The sequence below is a fragment of the Homo sapiens genome, chromosome 14 (genome assembly GCF_000001405.40).
Source record: "Homo sapiens chromosome 14, GRCh38.p14 Primary Assembly".
In the NCBI taxonomy this organism is placed as follows: Eukaryota; Metazoa; Chordata; class Mammalia; order Primates; family Hominidae; genus Homo; species Homo sapiens.
This window is the reverse complement of record NC_000014.9, coordinates 80,143,863-80,166,898: the sequence shown is the minus strand read 5'-3', so window position 1 is coordinate 80,166,898 and position 23,036 is coordinate 80,143,863. Positions and strand designations below refer to the sequence as shown.

Genomic DNA, 23,036 nt, shown 5'->3' with positions numbered 1-23,036 from the left:
TACTTCTTGTAGAAGGCTTATAAATCAGCCCATATGACAGATAAATATCTCACCAAGTAACTTTGTTTTAATTGTCTCTGCCACCATCCAGTGTCACTCAATTTATTGATTGGTAGCACCTTAATGAAAGAGTCCCGAAAGCTGATCTTTTCAACAGATTTAGGGAAAAAAGTAGGACTGCAACACTGGAATAAGGGCTAAATTCCATATGGTTCTATTTCTACGGAGCACGTCAGAGCATGATTTAAAATGTGTACCTCCCTCTGGTGGAAAATGATTTGTCTATAAATTTGAAAAAGTAAACAAGTGGAGAGAATTTTGAATTTACATTTGCTTATGAGATTTTGCTTACAGACTCTCACTTTAAATCCATGTAAACACATTTTTTTTTTTTCCTCCAGGGTAAGGGACTTGTGTTGTTTTGGGCATGTATCAATGTATATTATATATTTGTGTTATTTGTGTTTTGGTCTTTTTTTTTTTTTTTTTTTTTGAGATGGAGTCTCGCTCTGTCACCCAGGCTGGAGTGCAGTGGTGCAATCTTAGCTCACTGCAACCTCCGCCTTCTGGGTTCAAGCAATTCTTTGCCTCAGCCGTCCGAGTAGCTAGGATTACAGGAGCCCCCCACCACACCCAGCTAATTTTTGTATTATTAGTTGTGATGGGGTTTCACCACCTTGGCCGGGCTGGTCTTGAACTCCTGACCTGGCAATCCACCCGCCTCAGCCTCCCAAAGTGCTGGGATTACAGGCGTGAACTACCATGCCCAGCTGGTCCTCTTTTTTTTCTTTTTTGTCCCAGTCTTCCCCTGTGCCCCGCCATTTGGTATGAGTCCTGTGCTAGTGTTTACTGCTTGTGGGAGTTGCCTGTGTTGTGCATGGATGCCTTGCCAGTAGTTTGGGCTGCTCTAGCTAAGGGACCAGCCTAAGGGTTGAGTTCTGTTTTGCTGGAGTTAGATAGTTGTACGGGTGTTGTGATTCAAGACAACAAGAAGATAATGAGGCCAGGGGAGCTGGCACAGTCAAAAATAGTAAGAATAGAGCCAAGGACCAAATTTCAAGTGAGAATGAAAATAAAAGCTAAATCTGAAGGGCCAAAGGTGGAAACCAATATTGAGAGTATAGAGTTTACAATTTGGAACTAGGCAGATGATATCAAGCCACCCTACCAGTAAATGCAGGATTTGGAAAATAAACTGTTGTTTAATATGACTCCAAAGCTCTTTGTATAACACCATACCTCCTCCTCGTCTATTAATAACTACATCTTAGACTTTTTCGAGTCATTGAACCTCCTGTTTCACAGGTGAAAACACAATCTCACAGGATGGTTATACTTGTGAAGTTCTGAAAGCATGGAGCAGATGTTTATCATTATCATGAGATAATTAGTCACTCCTCAAGAATATTCAGATCTGAACTAAAAAAAATAGGAAAAGAAAAAAAGCTGTTTCTCTGCATGGTCTACATAGCCATATGAATAGATAAAAATCTGGGATATTAGTGAGTTACTTCATTTTCATATTACTAAATTTTGGTGGAATGTTTTTCATGGAATGAAATTGTTAATTGATTGAATCGACTGGTTGTTAATTAAATCAAAGCAGCTGAACCATCTCTGTATAGACACATCAGAAACATTCCTTTCTGATGATCCTGGTTCCTCCAGGGTTTTAGGACTAGCAGCAGGGAAAATATTGAAAATCAAGTTTGCTTTGGCTCTCTGTGGGTGAGCGATTCATGTGTCATGAAGTACACCAAAGAGACTGCGATGGGTCTACCGATTGGGCAGCTTCTGTGATTTGTTTATCTTCTGTGGTTGCAATAAAGAAAACATAAAAAAATCCATTGGTGACGACAGGGTTCAATATTTAAACGCAGTTGATACATTTCTTCTACCGCTAGGTGCAGACTAAATTTTTCTTCCCATGAAAAATTAGTATAATTTCTTCTTAGAGATACTGAGAATTGTGTAACTCATTGAGTTTCTGTTTTTGGTTGAATTTCCAGGACACTCTGAGAAAAATTATGGCTAACATAAACTAATTATGTTATATATCCATGCTTACATGCTTATATATTTATATTCCTCTGTTTCCTTAATGCTTGTTTTTATTTGTATTTTTTCTTGATTTAGTTTTTTAAAATATTATCTTATATTAAAAATTATTCACTAAAAGCTTACTCAAGCACTATGTGGTAAATAGACATTTAAACAAATTGGATAATAAAATTATAAAATTTTACAATAATCAAACTGTACACATAAGACCTTGGTACATCTACACAAAAAATAGAATATTTCAGCCAGGTAGTGTTTTATTTTGTCAGCTGGATTTTAGAAACATCAAAATAAAAATAATTTTTTCCCCTTTCCTCTCTGGTTAACAGAATCCCACTGTCCTTCATGACCCAGCTCAAGTTCTGCTTTCTTCATGAAGTCTTCTTGGCTGTTCTAACCAAATGACTCTCTTTTTGGAATTTCCATAGCACTTTGAGCTCACAGTGCACAGTTTAGAATTTTGTTATGCTGCTCTGGATTTTTCCTTCATTGTTTCTGCTCTAGCTATGCTGGCCTGCTTCTTATCCCTTGTCTCTGCCTGCTGCTTTCCCAACTGTGACTGTTTTTGCTGCTTCCACATGTCTGAAGTGGTCTGTCCTATGCTCTTATCCAATTGTATCCACTTACCAGGGCAAGGTCAAATAATATTGCCCTATGAAGCCTGCACAGCTCAGTTCAGCCAGCAACAGCCCTACATTCATAGTGCCTACCATCTATCTTCTGGAAACAATTCTCATAGATATTTTGGATGTCTTCCACTGGGTTCTTATAAAGCAATGTTTTAATTATTTAAATTATAAGTTTAACTTGAGAAACTATGGGAAATATATGGTTATTGCTAAGAGAAGATTCACATTTATTCTTACATCCTATGATAGTGGTTTTCCAAATTAGCTGCATGTCAAAATCACCTCTGGCATTAAATAAATACAAAGACACAGCCCTAACCTCAACTGATGACTGATTATCTTTAGGGTTTTTGCCTGGGCTTTCATGTTTTAAATAAGCTCCTTATTTTGATGCATGGACAAATATAATAACCACTGGTGTATGAAGAGAGTTGTGGAGAATAACTTGGAAGAGTTTATAAAACTCTTAGATTTTGATAGAAAGTAATAAAGAAATCCCTTCACCCCATAAGACAGAATTGCATGTCAGTGGTTAGAGAAAAAGTTTAATCCTTAAAAAAATGACATATCCTTAATATTATGCTGGATATTATGATCCTTTTCATTGTATCTTTACCATCTCTTATGTCTCTTACCTTACATTCTGAGTCTCTGTTCTTATTTTTTACAACAAAAAAGAACAATGAAATCTATACTGCAATTACTTAAGTGTTCACCTGAGGAATTTAGCACTTGTCCTTGGTCAAATCTATATTATTATACCTAAGACATGTACTAGTCTGTACCCTTGGTTGCAAGTGATGATATACCAAATCAAATGAGTTTAAGCAAAAAATAAGAATCTTTGAAATGGGAGTTCATGAGCTATGGTAAAGACAGGTTGCCTCTTCACCAGACCATTGCTCCTTCCTTATGGGTACTCAACTGTGCTCTTTTCCCAGCCTCCCCGCAATTGGGCATGACAATATAACTGAATTCCACCAATGGAATGTGGGCAGAAGTGATATATAGGTACCACTGGCTGGCTCATGAATCCCTCCCATGTGCAATATCCCATTTTATTTTACCATTTGGCCCCTGGATAGAGAAGGCTCCAAACACCAAAGTGAAATGAAGCCACAGGCTGGAAGAAACCTGAGTCCCTGAGTGACTGCTCAAAGAAAAGCCACGTAAAAGAGTATGGACCGCATGAGTAGGATATACTATGTGATATACTGTAGTATATACAAATATCCTATGTGAAGCCACAAATATTTTGGGACAATATTTACCATTGAATGCACTGGGGTATCTCACATAACATAAAGAAAAAAACAACATCCAAACTCTGAGAAGGGTGGTTATGCAACTGGGCCTCTTCAGAAACGACTGGAACCACATTAAATGTCTTTACAAATCTGTACTTGTTTCTGGAGCTCTATTAAACCATTTTCTCCTAATCAGTAGAGAAAATGAGGGATCGTTGCTATAATTTTTACCCAGGAGAGAGATTTACTGGGATTTAGATGTAAGTAGGAAAGAACAGAGACAAGAGTGACCATAGAGGCATTGGATAAGACCTAAGGGGACCATGCTGAGATTTGAGATTGGGTGCATTATCTGTCGGCGCTTGAGTTAAGGAAGGTTTTTCTACCTTTTTTGAGGGGAAAAGGTGATAAGTCCCTGTTACTACTTTAACAGAGCTTAGGATCCTCTGACTTGAGTCCACTAAAAATGCAGACTGTTACCGTGACTTTTAGCCATCCAAAACAAAAGGACGTGTATTTTGCGCTTATAAATTATTCATTTTTTTATTATGCTTACCTGGTCTGCCATATAGAATATTAGGTGCCTGTGATCTTTCTATGATACTTATTTTTGACTCTACTGTCTAATTTCAATAAATGCCTAATATGTTTTATCATTGTTGGATTACTGATTGTCACTTTCTTCTCCCTCTAACCCAGTTTTGTTTGGATGTATAAATTCAGCTTAAAATTTTTATTAAATTACTAAAAGAAGGCACATCATTGTTTTAGAGCATGTCTAAATTAGAGACGCCTCTCTCTTCCAGACTAGGCTGTACTTTGCTTATTTGGATTGTATTAAGATAGGAATTTAAAAATACTGATAATCATATACTGATCAAAGAGGCCAAAATATCTCTCACTCTTTATGGAATACTTTACAATGCCAAGGAATACTGGAATATTACTGGCTCTGTTTTTAGCTCTTTGTTGAAGGTAGGACCCTTTGATAAGACAAAAGATTTCTCTTCACTAGAACCCCAAAATGGAATAAAAACAATAGCAAATGAATTGTGCTGTATTATAAATGAACCACATTGCCACAATACAGGGCGGGGAAGAAAAGAGCTAACCTACATGTCATCTTGGAAAACAATATTTCAACCATATCCTGAAAGATTAAAGATAAAAAAAGAACTATGCACAAATACTGTGCTCTAATTAGTAAATTTGTTTTTCACAGAGGTTTGGATTAGCAATTCTGAAACTTCTTTATTTATATTCTGATACTGAATAAATAAGTAAATTTACTATAAATAATGAAAGCTTATTTTCTCATTGTTAGAGAAAGAGCTTACAAATAAGTAATAGGGACTATTATTAGAGAGAACCCCATGCTGTTAGGTGGAATCAGAGGTATCAGTATGAACTCATGGTTTTTAATAGATGTGGAAATAGATATAGATGTATATGTGTGCTTGGGTCAGTATACATACACATATTTTTTAGCTCTGCTGCTAAGAGAGCCTGGAAATAATGATATCCCAGTTGCAGAAGAACACCCAGCCCTGAGATCTTGGTTTCTAAATACCATTCACCAATTAAAGGACCTAGACTCCTCAGAGAAATGTCTGACTCCAAGAAGGGGTCAGGAAAGCACAAGATGAGCCTAGAACATTTAATGATGCCAGAAAGTAAGCAAGTGCTCAAAAAACGATGGAAGCATGTCCAGAAGCTAACTGGAGGAAGTTCCCAAATAACACATCTGAGTCCATCTGTGTAATAAAACAGATAATGATGGTAATGGCTTAAAACACAGAGAATAAATAAATATCCATGAGTCCATATAGATGTAAATAATTAAAGAAGTGATGGAAAAGAGATAGCTCTTTAAGTTGAATTCCAATTTATAAATGAGGAAGGAGTGGTGAAAACAGATGCCAGAGAAACTTTTACAGCTAAGAGGAGCCTATGGAGACAGGACAGCTAAATGTAATGTAGTATCCTGGGTGAGATTCTGGAACAGAAAAGGACCTTAAGTAGAACTAAGGAAATCTGAAACTATGAACTGTAGTTAATAATAATGTGTCAATATTGGTTCATTAATTGTAACAAATATATCATTAATGTAAGATTTTAACAATAGAACTAGTTGTGGGGTGTATATGTAATTTAAAACTATTCTCAAAAATAGTCAATTACAAATTTTAAAAGTCACCATTTGGCAAATATCATCGTAATAATTGTTGCAGTCAGTTATTGTCAATGGATATTAAAATTAGGGGGCAAAAATACTTGTGTAGTTTAAAGTATCTGAGGGTAAAATGCTTATTAATTACAAAGGGGAAGTAAGTAACTACAGTGGAGAAACCTGGCAGACATCACCTTAACCAAATGATCACCTTAACCATTTCAGCAGTAATGAAACATAGCGGCATCCTGTGCCTCCCACTGCGATTCAATGTCCCCATAGGCAGTGATTCTCCGGTTTTAATATTTATATGAATCACCTAGGGATCTTGTTAAAAATGAAAATTCTGACTGAGAAGGGCTGGGGTCTGAGATTCTGAATTTCTAATAAGATCCCTGGGGATCAGACGCTGCTGTCAAGTGGACCACAATTTGTGAATCAAGGCCTATAGGAAAACCTTGCAACTTTTCAGCAAAGAAGGAGGAGGCATGGCAGAAGATATTTACATCCCTTTTATGACATTCCTCCCGTTTTTTCTTTACTTTACTTGGGATACTAAGGGATGCCTTTTTTTATTTTTCCTCCAGCGCATTTTTAGCATCATAAATACCCAAAGCTCAAAGCAGATACATAAGCCCATCTGTTTTGGAAGAGGCAAGAGATCTTTGCACACTTTACTTAGCAGCAATAGGTGATGGTCTCCGACTGTTGATATCATCTGATGTCCTTGATTAGGAAACATTGTTGGACTCTGGTGTGGTATGGGTAGGGCACATTGAGTGCCATTTAAGGAATTATCCTGAAGCTCTATCACAATTATCATGAAAGATGAAGCATACATTAGCACCAAAGCCAAAGAGACACTTTCCAGCAGAATGGAACAGCACATCAAGGAAGACACAGGTATCACTGCACATGGATTCAGATGGAATTCTATATCTTGATGGAATTCTCTATCTTCATGGAATTCTGTACTCGATGCTTGTTTGGAGTTCTCAGCAATCAGATAGATTGTTTCTGTCCTGGCCAGTGTTCCCAACCTTTCAATTTCAGGGATAGCAGCTGCCTAACATTGTAGAACTAAAGGATCCTCTTCAGCAGGACAATTTGAAAAAACACTTGAGCCATTTTGTTTGTGGCCTTAGTTGCTGGACTGAAAAGGTCCTCAGTTGCAAGAAGAGACAAATGGCCTTGTTGCCTGGTGTGATTACGTTTTATATTTTAAGGTCATATAGGAATTAATGAGAGCTGAGCTAACTTCATCTAAGAAAATGAAATTGGGGCGGGAGAAAGCCCAGGTGTCAAGACTTTGGTCAGCCCTTGAAGAGGTTCTCTCTAAGCCAGCTGCTGGCACCAAGTCGAAAGCAACCGGAGGTAGTTTATTTTATTTATTATTTTGTCCCAGGACATTTTTTTTTGGCTCCACATAAAAGTCTCTACTTCCAATCCTTTTGCTTTCTTCAGGCTTTCCCAGTTTCTACCCTGTTCTGTCATGGTTGAATCAACGATGATTTGGAAAATCTGCCTCATTTTTCAAATTCATCTCCATCTTCTGAATTCCCTCCAATGTTGCCTCTCCAGTTGGCTTACCTGGATTTGTGTCTTGCATCCCTCAGACAAGCATTCATTCACCTTTTCACATAATCTAAGAGATTCTTTACATGCACTTCACTGGAACCTCTTAAGGCAGGTGATGCCTTCCAAATTCCATGTGATAGTCATCTCTAACCTATAATTCTATTTTAAGCCAAACTTCCCATTATGTGTGAAAATTGAATAAAAGTTTTTTTAAAAACATGCAAGTTTTCAAAAATGTAAGTTCCCAAAAAGTGAGTATTAGTTTTTTATAAAAGATATATTGAAAAAGTGCTGAAGACATGATGCAACACAGGAAGAAATAAACACAAAAATACAAATATCTGGGATCCAGGAAACATGGAAATCAGCACAGGAGAGGACTGAAAAAAAAAGGCAAAGATGATGCTGAGGGGGGAATCTCAGGATGGCAGCTATGAAACAGACCCCAAGAGCAACGTTCCAGATAGAAATGAGAGGGTAGAGGGCCTGAGGAGTAATTGAGTTGAACTCTATTGGAGTTTGGAAGGAGGTAAAATACGTGTGGGGGAAAAGAAAGCACGTAAAAAGCTCAACCCTTATCTTCCACTTAATACCATGGGAAGGGTTAAGAAAGATCACTGTGTACCGTTTACACATGCAGAGGCAAGTAGTGGGAAGGAATACAGGAGTTGAAGTGTTTGCCTCTGAGGATGAGGTCAGGGGTGGAAAGGAACACAGAGATGGCTGCTTTTTTTGAAAATCTTGGAAAACTATCTGACATTTATCTGTATTTTTATATATATATATAAAATATATACATGAAAAGTATTATGTATATAAAAATATATTTTCATATATACAAAAATGTGAGTTTTCCATTATATATATGTGTTTATATACACACACACATATATAAACACACACATATATAAACATGTATATGTGTATGTGTATATATATATAAACACGTGTATATGTGTATATATATTAAAGATGTTCAGTGTTTTTATTTTCAAAAAGGTTGATGGCGCCGGGTGCAGTGGCTCACGCCTGTAATCCCAGCACTTTAGGAGGCTGAGGAGGGCAGATCACAAGGTCAAGAGTTCGAGACCAGTCTAGCCAGCATGGTGAAACCCTGTCTCTACTAAAAACATAAAAAATTAGCCAGGAGTGGTGGCACATGTCTGTAGTCCCAGCTACTGAGGAGGCTGGGGCAGGAGAGTTGCTTGAACCTGTGAGGCAGAGGTTGCAGTGAGCTGAGATTGCACCACTGCACTCCAGCCTGGGTGACAGTGAGAGACTCCATCTCAAAAAAAAAAAAAAAAAAAGGTTGATGGAGCAATTTACTTTAAGGGATAAGTAACCCTGATAATGGTCTCAGGAGTCAGGTGATTAAAGTAACTCAATTCAAAAACCACTTATTAAGTATGTGCTGTGTGTCAGATGCTATGGAGAGAAAGGTAAATAACATAACATTTCTGCCCTCAGGGACCTCACAATTTAGGCCAAGTTAGAATACGTGCAAATACTATGATATAGAATATGATAACAAATATTGGAAATAATACTCCGGGGAGAATGGAGGAAGGAGCAATGACGTTAGAGTAGCTGGATTAGGAAAGGACGCAGGGAGAGTTAATGTCATTGCCCAATACCCAGTATGATCTGGTTTGTTTTCTAGTTCTTATTCCTCTTTTTTTTTTTTTTGTTTGAGCAGAATGTAAATGACAAGGAACCTCTTTCTGACCTCTACGAGATTCTTTGGGTCAGGAGAGATTTGGAACTCTGGAAATAGAAAATGAGAATAACCTTGCAGATGAAGAAGGGACTATAAGAGAGTTGCAGAGGTAGGGTGGAAAGGGTGTCTGAGGAGAGTGGCAAGTCTCACATGTGAAGGCAGAGTTTATGAAGGAGATTTGACCTGTGCTGAATGGAGAGCAGTAAACGTTCAGAGAAACTTGATGTGTTCAGCCAAAACAAATGAACAACATCCTGAAAGTAAACTGGTTCATAGAAGGTCCAGAGTAAGAATTATGATGGTGTTAGTGCTTCCAGTGTCTGGCTAGGGTCTGGAATGGGGTGAGAGATCAGTTTAATAGCATGGAACCAGTCATCTGTCATTTGAAGCAAATGCTTAAGGGCCCATTCCCTGAAGGATCCTCACTAATGATACTGCTACAAGTAACAATAAGGCAGGTGACTCATATTTACTGAAATATGAACAACTTTTGAAATGGAAAGAAACAAATCACAAGGAGGCAAAAGCTAAGTGTTGCTATAGGAGTTTCATTAAAAAATACATTTCTCAACTGGGGAGCTGTCTTCTACCTTCTTTTTAGCTCTACTTCCCTTCCTTTCACCCTACAAAGCTTCCAACTGAAAACATTTGTTGAACACCCAGCAAGTACTAGTTTCCATGTAGGACACTATATTCCAATGGCAGAGAGAGACACAGCTACAAGTAACAATAATGCCATTTAGTATGTGCCATAATAGAATACTAAGGAACACAGAAAAGGACTTAATTAATAGAATAAATAGATCTAGGAAATTTAGTGATAATATCGTGGAAGACATTCAGGCTGAATCTTAAAGAAAAATCACAATTTTGTGAATTATTGAAAATAAAGGAGTAGGAGATTCACAGCCTAAGAAATTATTTAGCATGAGTTATATATATATATATAATAAGCCATGTGGTTTGGTGAAGGGAAATGCTGTGTTGTCTGGTGTGAAGGCCTGCAAATGCAGATGAGGATCTGCTTGTGAAGGGATTTTAATATCACTCCAAAAAGTTTGTGTTATATCTAAGTGAGTTGATGGTCTGTGTACTGGTGGGGGATCATAGAAAAGTCAGGAGATTTTTTACAATTGCAATGATGGGGAGTGGAGGGTGATCATATTTTTATGTACCTCGAGGAAACTCAAGTTTTTAAAAGCTTGAAGAATATCATGGTAGACAATGAAACAGCACCAGTGTTTTAAAATCAGAAGATCACACAAACGTGAGTTACTGTGAAGCTGATAAAGATAAGCTTCTGAAACCTTCATTTTCAGGACCCTAAAGAGGCCCCTGCTGGGGCCTCCTTAGACCTGAAAAGTTTGATTCTGCCTCTGCTGTCCATACCCAGGCTCACTAGGATGTCTTGTTTATCATGGACTCAAATAATGGTGCTTTGCTATTAAGAAAATTATTTCTGTAAGCTACCTTTCTCTACTTTCTCCTAAACACTTCCCATCTCTGTCTTCTCAGAGAGCAGGATAATCAGGAGCAGGCAGAATGTTCTAGATCAACGGTGCTCACCAATATTGACTTTCTGGGGTTCAAGTTTTCTCCCTGATTCTTTATAAGAGAGTGGAGCTAGAATGAGTTGGCCTGGACAACACTTGGGCCACTGTCCCTTTCTTTCAGATTGTATTCAAGCAGGAATTTCATTAGTTCCTTAAATATTCTGTGCTGCTTATCTTCTAAGGTCCTTTGTGGCAGCTGTTTATGTGTAAAATGATCTTTCTACTCTGCATGAGTCCAGCTCTTTCTTATCTGTAGCCTCAGCTTCAGTGTCACTGTACTTCCTCAGAAAGATGTATCTTGATCTCATCATCTGCAGCCATGACCAAGAACTCCAAAATCTCAATGGCTTAAAACAGCCAAGGTTTATTCCCCATCACATTTCAAGTCCATCTTGGCTCAGCAGTTCTATTTATTGTAGTCATGCAGGGACCGGGGCTATAGATGCTCCATGCTTACAGGATGCCCGATTTCACTGTATGTAGCTATGATTTTTATGGCAGAATAGAACAGTGAAGGTAGAGAATTACTCTGGTGCACTAGCTCTTAAATGCTTCCATGTGGAAGTCACACAGGTCATTTTGCTCATTGATATTAAGGGGCTAAGGCATGCAATTGACTTGCATATTTGGAAGAAGAGAAGAACCAGGAACACCAGCAAGTAGCACTCATGTCTGCCACTTGCCTTATCTAGAATCAGTCTCTTCTCTCTTGTCTAGCTCAGTGTTAGGTTTGAGGAAACCCAATGAAGAGCAACTCTCTTTATCAGGTGGGTTAGGAACCACTTAAGAGATAAAACAAAGAATTGAAAGATAATCCTAGAGATGAAAAATTTAGCTTTATTACTCAACACTGAACTGGAAGAAATGGCTTAGATGTGTGGCAACAGAGAACTTCCTAATATTTAATGATGTTTTCAGGCTGGTCCAGTATTAGTCAATGTTCTCCAGAAAGACAAAGCCAATAGGAGATATATATCTCTTATTTTGCCAGGTATCACAATGGAACTAAAAATGACATAAAAGGCATTGTTCCTGGAATTAATCATATAAGTAAATAAAAGCATAATAATATTATTTTATAATATTAATACTGTAAGACTATGATACTATTTATCATAGCAATGATTTTAATTATCTCATATAAATCAATATTGATAGGTATGACATATTTATATTATTGCATCTGTTATATAGTTTTAGATTCTAGTATATTACATATGCCAATATTTGTAGTATTTACATTAAATTTTGTTTTCTAATATTGTATTAGTATAAATTCATCATTACTGCTATTATTATTATTTAATATAAGGACTATATGCCAGCCTGAAATAGCTTAAGTATATCTACAGATTCCTGAGCAGAAATTAGAATTTCCCTAAAACAGACCTTAGGCTGCATTAAATCCTGTTTTTGCTTTCTAATGAGTTAAATGAGTTAATATCTTCCTGTTCTTTGTCTTAATTCCACTCTAATAATGAAATTCTGCCTTAAGTGAAAGTTCAGGAACAATTGGAGAGAAAAGGAAAAACAGACAGTAAGTTTTTTAAAAAGTAGGCAAGAAAATGATGCACAGACAATCAACTTCATAGAAAACCCAGAAATGTTATGCCATGGCAAAAATATTTAGCATATTCATAAATAGTGAGGGAATAGGGAAGAAGAAACCAGGAGATTTAGGCATAAAAGAATTCTAGATGCAGTAACAGCTAATATGCACATACACACGCACACACATACAAAATGTTGAAAAATACCGGTCAGAGACAAAATAGAACCCTAAAGATTCAAAGAGTATCTTGTTTTGGTTACTAAGTAATAGAGGGAAGGTCGATAACGTAACTTCACTAGCTAGCCAAGATTTTTTCTTGAGTTTATAAGGATATTGAAATTATACTAGGGCTAATTTAATTTATCAGTAACCCAATTAATATCAAGTAAGTGTAGGCCAGTTAGCTCCATGAATGAGTGTAAGCATTTAATGAAGTCAGAGTCATGAGCTCAGTATGGGCCAGTTATGTTTTATCTATTGGAGAATACATATTATACTCTCAACCCTACTTACCCCAGCCATAAATATATTTGATTAAGAAAGGAATGAAGTGAAAGAAGCAGGGGATGGGGAGCAGATAGGGCAAAATTTATTTAAGAATATGCATGTTTATATAATACATTATTCTATTGGAAAAACAATTTGAAACTGCTGTGTTGTGAAGATAAGTTAGTAACATCATCTTTATTACAAAGTACAATACGTTATTTGGTAAACACCCATAGGTTCCTCAAACTTATAGTCCCCATACATTCAAACACCAACATTTACCAATATGGAAGGAATTGGATGCTTTCCTATTCTTGGGTAATTTTCGTATTTTTTAGCAAGAGAGGTTTTGGTACCGTCCAGGTAAACAATGCAGGGCTTGGATGTGATCCTGTAACATAAATTAATGTATTTGAAAACTGATGGGTTAGAGATGGTTATAGGAAGGAAGGATAGCTCTTTCTAAAGTTTTAATAGATGGTCTAGATTTAAATATAACACATTAGGTTTTTCAAACAGATAATGAATGAAGAATTCTCATTACTAGGCATTATCAAAGCTGTAGGAAAACAGAAAATGTTTTCTAATGGAAAAACATGGAAAATTTGAGTTTCAGTGAGAATACGCTGAGCCAATCCCAAGTCCAGAAAATAAATGGTTAATATGTCGTTAAATTTGTTCAAAGGAAGTCACAGACCAACAATATTCATATTGTACATATAAAGGCACATATGAATGGACATATAACTATGTAAATATATGTGTGTGTTTGTGTACTTAGATCTGAGTGAATATCAATGTACAAGGTCAAAGTAAATATCTGTACTTGAGAACAGTATATATATTATATTTTTACTTAATTTTTAATTAAATGAATAGTTGTTGAAGCTAATAATCAAAGGTTATACTAATGACCTCTGGAATTCTGCCCACCTCAGCAATTTTTGTAGAATTGCCAACATCAAGAATTTACTATGAACATTTATTTTAAATTACTTAATTTTCCACAATAACTCTACAAACTCTTAACTATTTTTGTCAGTATCTTAGAAATGAGAAAACTGAAGTTGAAAGAGGATAACGAATGTGCTGAAGGCCTAATGATTAATAGAAGGGGAAAGCTGTGTCTGATTCCAAAACCCATCTTTTAATTCTATGTTATACCGCCTCCTTTATACTTTTTATCAGAACGGGTAGCATGTAAAAATATATCTATTGGTTTAGGTGTTAAAATTTCTGAAATTCAAAAGAACTTGTGAAATTTGAAAGAAAAACATAGATAAAACTCTTAATTTTTATAGGTGATAATCAGGGCAGATAAACTTACTTAAGTAAGTAATTAGACTTGACAATAAAAGGCTAAGTAGAAATACAAGTGAGATTTTACTACTTAAATTAATATAAGTAAGACTAATAGCTGACTTTTTGTCTTAGCCAAAATATGAACTCAGTATTATGAATTATGCATTACTTGGGCTAAATCTGATTGTGAAATCCTCTAAAGAATTTACTTGAGTCCTGTTTTTCCAGTTAGAGCTTTTATTTGCCTTAGGGAGAATTTGGTAGTGAGGAGAGGTTCATAGAAAAGCAAGCTTTTCTCTAAAAAGAGGGTTTCTCCAACCCACCTCACTAGGGAATATTTTTGGGAATTTATGAGCATACTACCATAAAGAAAAAAGACATGAGCAACAACAGCTGATGTTTCTTGAATGCTTACAACTGTTAGACTCTTTTGAAAAGCTTTACATATATTAACTTGCCTAGTCTTTACAAAACAAAGGCAAGAATAAACCTGATAAGAAACCTCTGGCGTTATGGCACTTTTTTTTTTTTTTCTGTTAGGGATGGACTCTGATTAATTACAAAAGTGAATATATCAATCACATACATGAACTGCCAATCATTTGCTATGTGGAAAGAATCATTCTAGAGTTACTTGAAATACCAAACTTTTTAAACACATTTGAAGTGATTGAATTTATAAAACATTGATTTAGAGAGAACCTTTAAAAATGTCATTTTTAAGTTTAAAAAATATAGGCTGTGTCCTTCTCACATTTATTTGTCTGTAGCCCTAAAATGCCTGGCTGAACCTTGGAAAGATAAGGTCGACTAAGTATAAAAATTCTTCTTTTGTTCTTTGGAGGTGTTATTAAAGTCATTTACTAGATCAGTACTAGATGGGTGACTCAGGGCTCTCCTCCTGAAAGACTCATTTTTACTTTCCTTGGTCCCACTTTATTTCTCTATGGCCATGGATCATGTCAGCACGAGGAGTTGAGAAATATAATATATAGTCTGCTTCTGGTTGTCTGGTCAAGGTTAGAATCATAGAATACTTAAGTTGGAAGAAAAACTCTATATATCATACAGAGGTCTACCACTCATCCATCCCTATATACATGAAAAAAACAAAAACAAAAACCAGAGGGAGGTAAAAAGATGTAACTTTTGCTGAAAAACACTTTTTACCCTTTCATTTTTTCTATATTGACTGAATTGTCCCTCATGTTTTAATAGTATTTAATTTTGGCTATTGTATGAGAATTATGGAGGTAACTGGTTAAGGTAGAGGGTGTTTTGGTAGACTAGATTCTTGGCTATATGTCAGTGAAATTTGTAATTTGATTTCTTTTCATCCCATTTCTTAATGTGGCTATTATTTTTCAGAAATAGTAATTTGACCATTATATAGTGGATACCCCATATCCTCAGGTTCCATATCTGTGGATCCAACCAACCGTGGATCAAAAATACCCCCAAAAATAAAAATACAGCAATAAAACACAATGGGAATAAAAAACAGTACAGTATAACAATTGTTTACATAGCATCTACATTGTATTAGGTATTATAAGTAATCTAGAGATGATTTAAAGTATATGGAAGGATGTATGTAGGTTACATGAAATACTAAACCATTTTATATAAGGGACTTGAGCATCCATAAATGTTGGTATCCACAGTGGTCCTGAAACCAATCCCTGTGGATGCTAAGGGAATTATTACAGTTCATACTCTGAATATTAGGGCTTATTAGCTGGCATCTATCTTTACATGTGTTTTTGACCTTTTTCCTTTCGCCCAATAATTAACTGAGTACTAAGTAATGAAGATATTGCAAATCACACCCTATAAGATTTAATGGCTTCATCATAGTCATGCTGCTTATTTCTGTTTAATTAATCTCAAGAGTGACATTAGGGTCATCTCATCAAGACACCAGAGAGAGAAGGGTGGCTGACAGACAATTTCTTGTCTAGGGATAAACAGGACAACTTGTTTTCACAAATCATTACTTTTTACCCACCCTATGCTGAATACAATGCTAGGTTATGTGGGAAACCCAAGAACGTAAAGGATGTGGTCTCTACTTTTAAGGAGTTTCTGTGGTACTATGTGTCAGAGTGAGGTGTAGGCATGGGTGAATCAGAAGAGGAATCTGAAGTAGTTGGCAAGTGAAAGCTGCCCATGTGAGGTGAGGAAAAGCCAACTATATCCAAGTGAAAAATAACAGCTCTTTTGTGTTAGACACTACTCTAAGCACTTCATTTATATTAATTATAACAGTATGTATTAATACATAATATATAATAATGCATAAATCCAATTTAGAATAATCCAAGGAGGTAGACACTAGTATTACCCTGATGTTGCATTTGAGGAAAAATAGACAGAGATGTTAGCTTATTTATTTTAGCGTACTTACTTGTAGAATGAAGGAAATATTTAAAATCTAGGCAATATGGCACTAGAAGCCGCGTGCTGAATTGCAGGCTCCATGACAGTGGTCTTTGCAGAAATTTCTTGAATATGACCCCAAAGGCACAGGCAACAAAAGCAAAAATAGACAAATGGGATTGCATTAAACTAAAAATCTTCTCTACAGCAAAGGAAACAATTAACAGATTGGAAAAACAATGTAGAAATTGAGAGAAAATATTTGCAAATCACACATCTAATAAGGAGCTAATATCTAAAATGGAAAGAACTTAACTAAATAACAAGAAACAAAGAGCCCAATCAAAAAATGGGCAAAAGGCCTAAATACACACTTCTCAAAAGAAGACATACAAATGGCCAACAAGTATGTAAAAATATGCTCATCATTACTGATCATTTGGGAAATGCAAATTAAAACCACAATGAGATATCACCTCACACATGTTAGAATGGCTATTATTAAAAAGATGAAAGATAAGTATTGGCAATGATGTAGAGAAAAGGGAACACTTACACAGTGTTGGTGGGTATGTAAATTAATATAGCAATTATGAAAACAATATGGAGTTTCCTCAGTAAACTAAAAATAGAATTACTATATGATCCAGTGATTCCACTTCTGGGTATATATCCAAGTAAATTGAAATCAATATGCCAAAGTGGTATCTGCACTCCCATGTTCATTGCAAGGTTATTCACAGAAGCTGAGATGTGGTGGCAATCTAAGTGTTCATCATCAGATAAATGGATAAAGAAAATGGATATATACACAATGGGATACTATTCTGCCTTATAAAAGGGGACAGTCCCATCATTTGTGACAACATGAATGGACTTGGAAGATATTATGCTAAGTGAAATAAGCCAGGCACAGAAAGACATACACCACATGATCTCACTTTTATGTGTAATCTAAAAAAGTTGAACTCATAGAAGTAGAGAATAGAACATTGGTTACGAGAGGCTCAGAAAGGGAGGGGATTGGGGAAAGGAAAGATGTTGATCAAAGGGTACAAAGTTTTAGTTAGATGACAGAAATAAGCTTTAGTGACTTATTGCACAGAATAGTGACTATAATAAATAAAAACACATTGCAAATTTCAAAACTGATAAAAAAGATTTTGTTTTCAACACAAAAAATAATAAGTATATGAGGTAACAGATTTGTTAATTAGACCAATTTAGTCACTCTACATTGTAAAGATATATCAAAACATCACATTGTACCCCATAAATATATACAATTATTATTTATAAATTAAAAATAACATATAAGTATACAAATCACCATACCACAGTTGTATGAAGACTGTGACTTGGATAGCTGATCTGCAACAAGCTGGTTATTTCATTGACCTCTGGACACTAATATCTAAAGGAACCTCAGGAGGCCATATTGTTTCCTTAAATGTCAATATGAATCACAATTATATTGCCATCTTATTTAGCTATTTAGATGCTTTTAAGAGCTGTATTTACCTTAGTGCAGGAAAATTTGGGAAATCATGTATTTTAAAGAAGGGAATTAAATCCTGTTTATTACAAATATTTTAAAATACCTTTTAAAAGTAGTTTTAATATTGTGCTTTAATAAGCTTTAAAAATATTTTAGCAAAAATATTTAATTAAAATATAACAAATTACAATAAATTTAATTAAATATTTTTCAAATATGTTTTTTAGAAAGTCGTTATATAAAGAAATCAAAATGACTTTGCTCCCTCTAATCCTCTAGCCAAGGAGGTTACTTAGAGCTTCACACTTCTATTTAGACTTTATGGAAAAGGTGAAATTTCCAGGGATCTAATGGCAAAGGGTGAGTATATATGGCAGATTTGGAGGAAAATAGTATATTAGGTGAAGGGGAGAAGGTAAAGTAGGGATAAGTAGTCATGCCAGTTTTTTATTTGCTACTAATTAAGACAATAGTAAGATTGGCATTCAGTGTGCTCATTCATTCTCTTTTCTAATAGCTTTATGCTTGTGACGATTAAGAGAGGCATAAATTGATCTTTTAGATAGATAAGCAGTCTTCAAGTACTTCATTCTTTGAAGTACTTTTCAAATTTCAGGAAATTTGAAAGGATCCACTGTAATAAAATCTATTCATCTCTTCCAAAGCTCATAGTCACCTCAGTTGGACTTTAGGTCCAATGGTATCAAAGCCTGCAGATTGTTGAGATAATTATCCAAGATAAACAATTCCAATTCAACTTATTCATAAGTTATCATTAATAAGGTTACCATGTTTGTGTTACAAAACCATGAGTTAGTGAATAGTTTCAGGGACATTAAGTAGACTATCCGTGGAGTTTCAAATGTTGTTTCTTCCAACTCTATCAGGATTCTTGGTCTGTAAGTGTATATTGCTCCATGCTTTGAGAGAGCAAAACAATTAGATCATTAGTGGTAGTTCCCATACAATATGCAGGACTCTGCTCTTGATCATATCAATATATCCAAATCATGTAAATCAGGTATACTTTAATGACAATGCAACACTCAGCCCAAAATCAAAGGTAGGAATTGCTTAATAGTTACTAATAAATATTTCCTAATGGCTTTAGTCTGTTATTGTTAAAATGATTACCTTAATCTCACATGGGCATGGCAACACAATGTGCCCTCTATCATCGGGGAACTCAGATGGGGTAATAAGTGGCTCGATTTGCCCTATAACTCTTCATCACCGTGCTACCAAAGCACTGACACCATCATCATTTAGTCACTAGAATCTTTCCAAACGGGCTGATTGTGAGTTCACACTATTCTTTGACAAACAACTTTGCACATTGACATCATTCATCATACACAGGAAGGTAAGTCTTGGAAGCTGAATTTACCTAAGGCTATAATAGGATTGACCATTTGTCTTGAATTAGCCAGTCATTGAAGCAACTGGTCAACCCATTAAAATCTTAAGTACATAAATAAACTAAGCCATGGTTTTAATTAATGGATTATGGTTCAGAAAAGGGTTGAGAAATAGTTTGGCATCATGGGCCAACTGGTATAGGAGAAACCACATTGGATGCAACAAAGAGGAGCTTGATTCTGGCAAGCCATGACAAATGGGCAAGTCACTGCATTGTGCTGAGTCCCAGTTTACTTGTCTATTAAATATTGTAATTGTTACTGGATGATTTGTCTGGTTAGAAAAGTCCACTGGAGAAATTTACTGTGGTGGTTAAAAGTTGCTATTCGAAGCTGGTTTAAATCTTTTTTAATATTAGCTATGGTGGTCAAGAAGACCCAGTATTCACTCAGACTTCTTCTACCCTACACCCCTCCTCACACAAACCAAATCTATAAGGATTTTTGGTTTGCAAGTGTATGTCATGCCATATTTTGAGAGGGCTGAACTTACAGAGATCGTGAATGGTGGTTCTAACACAATATGCAGGGCCTATTAGCTATATAGCAAGCTATTTGCAAGAAATGACCACCTTTGGTTATCAGTCTAGCTCCCGCTGCATTGTATAGTAAGTCATTATTCAATACAATTTAGATGACTAGAACAATTCTTCATCCAGATTTGGAGATCAAAGAGCAAATATATTTGGGGGTCTTAGAACTGTCAATTAATTCCATTCCAAATCAAATATCTTTAGATCTTATTAAAGCTATCCATCAATTCTGCTTAATTTGTATAATTTTTCTATGGAAAGAACCTCTTCCTTACTACTGTTATGGGGAATCCTTTTGTTCCTCTAAGACTGTCTAATATCTCACCCACTAGAGCAGTTGTCAGAGTTCAGCTCAAGTTTAACAGCTCTTCTCTGTCTCTGGCAGATGGGAGAACTGCCTGATCACTACAACATTTCATTGCCAAGGTTAGTGTCATTTAGTGTTGTTGGAAAAACCTGGTTTTTCCTATGTAATCCTCCAAACTGGGACATTGCTAAGGGCTTTTATTTCTCCTTACAGGAGCTCATTGGACTTCTGTCACAATTTAGTGAGGTTTTGTATCTAAATTTTCCCACACCATGCCTGACACCAGGTGGGTGTTAAACATTAGGTGTTTTTTTACTACCATAAAATATGTATGAAACTAACTTTTATTAAAAATGTTTTTCTGTCAGAAGTTATCCCAAAATTTTTCGTTTGCTGGCTCTTTATGTATTGGGGAAACAGATCCAGTTTCTTGAAGGGATAAATCTATAATTTTGAATTTCTGTGGCTAATCAGTCTCTTTGACCCCCTTTGATTAATATTGGAAATGATGAATTCCAACACTTTAGCCAGATTCCAACCTGAATTTTATTTTGGACTGCTTTCTTCCTTCTTCATCAGTCTAACAGTTGAAATTCAATGGGCTATTTGTCATTGCCTGGTGTCATCACCAGGCCAGAATGTTAGCCAGCTGTGAGATAGCTGCCGCATTCCACCCCAGAAATGGCTTCACATCAGCTATGAGTGAAGAACCTCAATACCAGGACCATTCAGCTACTTGTTGAGAATCCCAGTGTGTTGAGTTTGTGTTACTACCCAGGCTTTGCCTACATACACATACCAGCTTGGGAATGAAACAGAGATTTAATTCAGTTTATTCCTTTTAAGCAATTGAGTGAAACCTCTTTATTAGTTTTCCTTTCCCAATATGACCAATTTTATTTCCTCTTTAAATTATTGTGTCTAAATAGACAGGGCCTTGGAATGAGATCACCATGTCAACATTCCAGTATGAATCTCTTTTGACTGCAAGGGGTAGAAATGGAGGAGAGAGGATGGGGTAGGCAGGAAGGAGGTAGGGAATTAAGTGTGAAAACATCCCAGACAAGAGCAAACACTGGTGCCCAATGTCAGGACACATTTCCACCTGCAGCTGCCTGGAACCAAGCACTCTCATATTTGATTTGGGGATATTTAGTAAGATCCACTTGACTTTTCCAGAATGGTTTGTCTTGTGTCCATTTCCACACCCAACCTGTCCCTGACTTCTTAAAAAGGCTTTCCAGATACATAGACTGAAAAATAGTTTTTACAGGTTTCTTTAGAGGGATTTGCATACTGGACTCATCTTTTACTGGTATTAATTTACTGAAGATGGATGGAAATTTCCCTTCTTCTTCTTTAGTTTTTTTTTCCTGGTCAATCTTCAAGTTAAATTTAATGTTATTATGCAAAGAGAGGAAAAAAATTACTCAAAGAAGAACCAAACCAAAGATTCAGTTTAAGCCTGTACTTAAAGGAAACTGTTCATTATTACTTATATTTCCAATTTTCTTTATGTTTTTACAAATATTCAGCTATATATAGACCTATAGTAAACTACAGAATGACTACACATTTCAATTAATTGACAGAATGACATGTAATAAACATTCAATTCAATAGGCCTTTGCCTCACAATATAACCAGTACATTCTTCTAGAATATGGAAGAACCAGTAGAGAAGTTGCACTAGAAGTTGCAATAGGCACAATTAGAAAATGTATTATAGCCAATGGACATACCACTGAACAGTATTACAAGCTTTTTGAATTAATAGTGCAACCCAGAACTCAGATACAATGTACCAGCTGTTTAAGGAGAATTTAAGAAAAAATGTTTTATACATTTGTCATGGGAAATAATCACCTGCTCCACTTTTTTTTCCCTGCAAGCAAGCTCTCTCCAAGTTAAATAGGGCAATGCCAGAGGAGTGTTCTATAGATTTTACAACTAGGTATTCTTTGTATCACAACTTCCATTGGTTAGTTCAAAAATAGTGTTTTATTTCTCACCTAACTGATTCTTTCTAACAATCAATTAATTGACAAAGAAGCTTAACTCCCTCCAAGTCTGGTTTTTGAAGCATTCTGAACAATATTTTATCCAAAATATTACCAAGGTTTTAGTTATCCTTCTGCGGGATTAAAGAGATGTGCTAGAGAAAGTTTCCTGTTCCCAGAAGGGATCTAGTGTTCTGTCAGAGGAACTTTGTGAAGCATCTGGATTACTGGGGCATTTTCCAAAGGACTCCTTTAAAGGTGCATCCTCATAAACCTCTAAAGAGCTCTCATTAGATATGTTTTGGTGGAGAACATTGCAGTTACCTTTTTTTTCAACCTCAGTGCTACATTGGGATAATTATAGCAAAGAGGGGAGGAAAACTATACAAACTACTCTTCTCTTCCCATTTTTTTTCCATTTATAGGAAAGAACAGTAGAGAAATCATCCCCCCTTGAAAGACTAGTTGGTTTTCTTGGTATAAAACTAATTTTATAGTGTAATTACTCCTAGCATAAATGAAAAAAAAAGCTACATATATTCATAAGAATGAATATCATAAAGAAAATTACAGAGAAGATAGTAGGATAACATTTATATAACA

At 35.7% G+C, this 23,036-nt stretch overlaps 1 long non-coding RNA gene across 1 annotated transcript; it reads right to left on the bottom strand.

Moving 5' to 3' along the window:
* Positions 1 to 13,169: 13,169 nt before the first annotated feature.
* Positions 13,170 to 19,412, bottom strand: LOC105370591 (uncharacterized). The gene is made up of 3 exons (XR_944070.3): positions 19,310 to 19,412; positions 16,706 to 16,802; positions 13,170 to 13,387 (listed from the first exon to the last, which is right to left on the bottom strand). It is a non-coding gene; the product is annotated as an uncharacterized LOC105370591 (long non-coding RNA).
* Between the last annotated feature and the right edge of the window lie 3,624 nt (positions 19,413 to 23,036).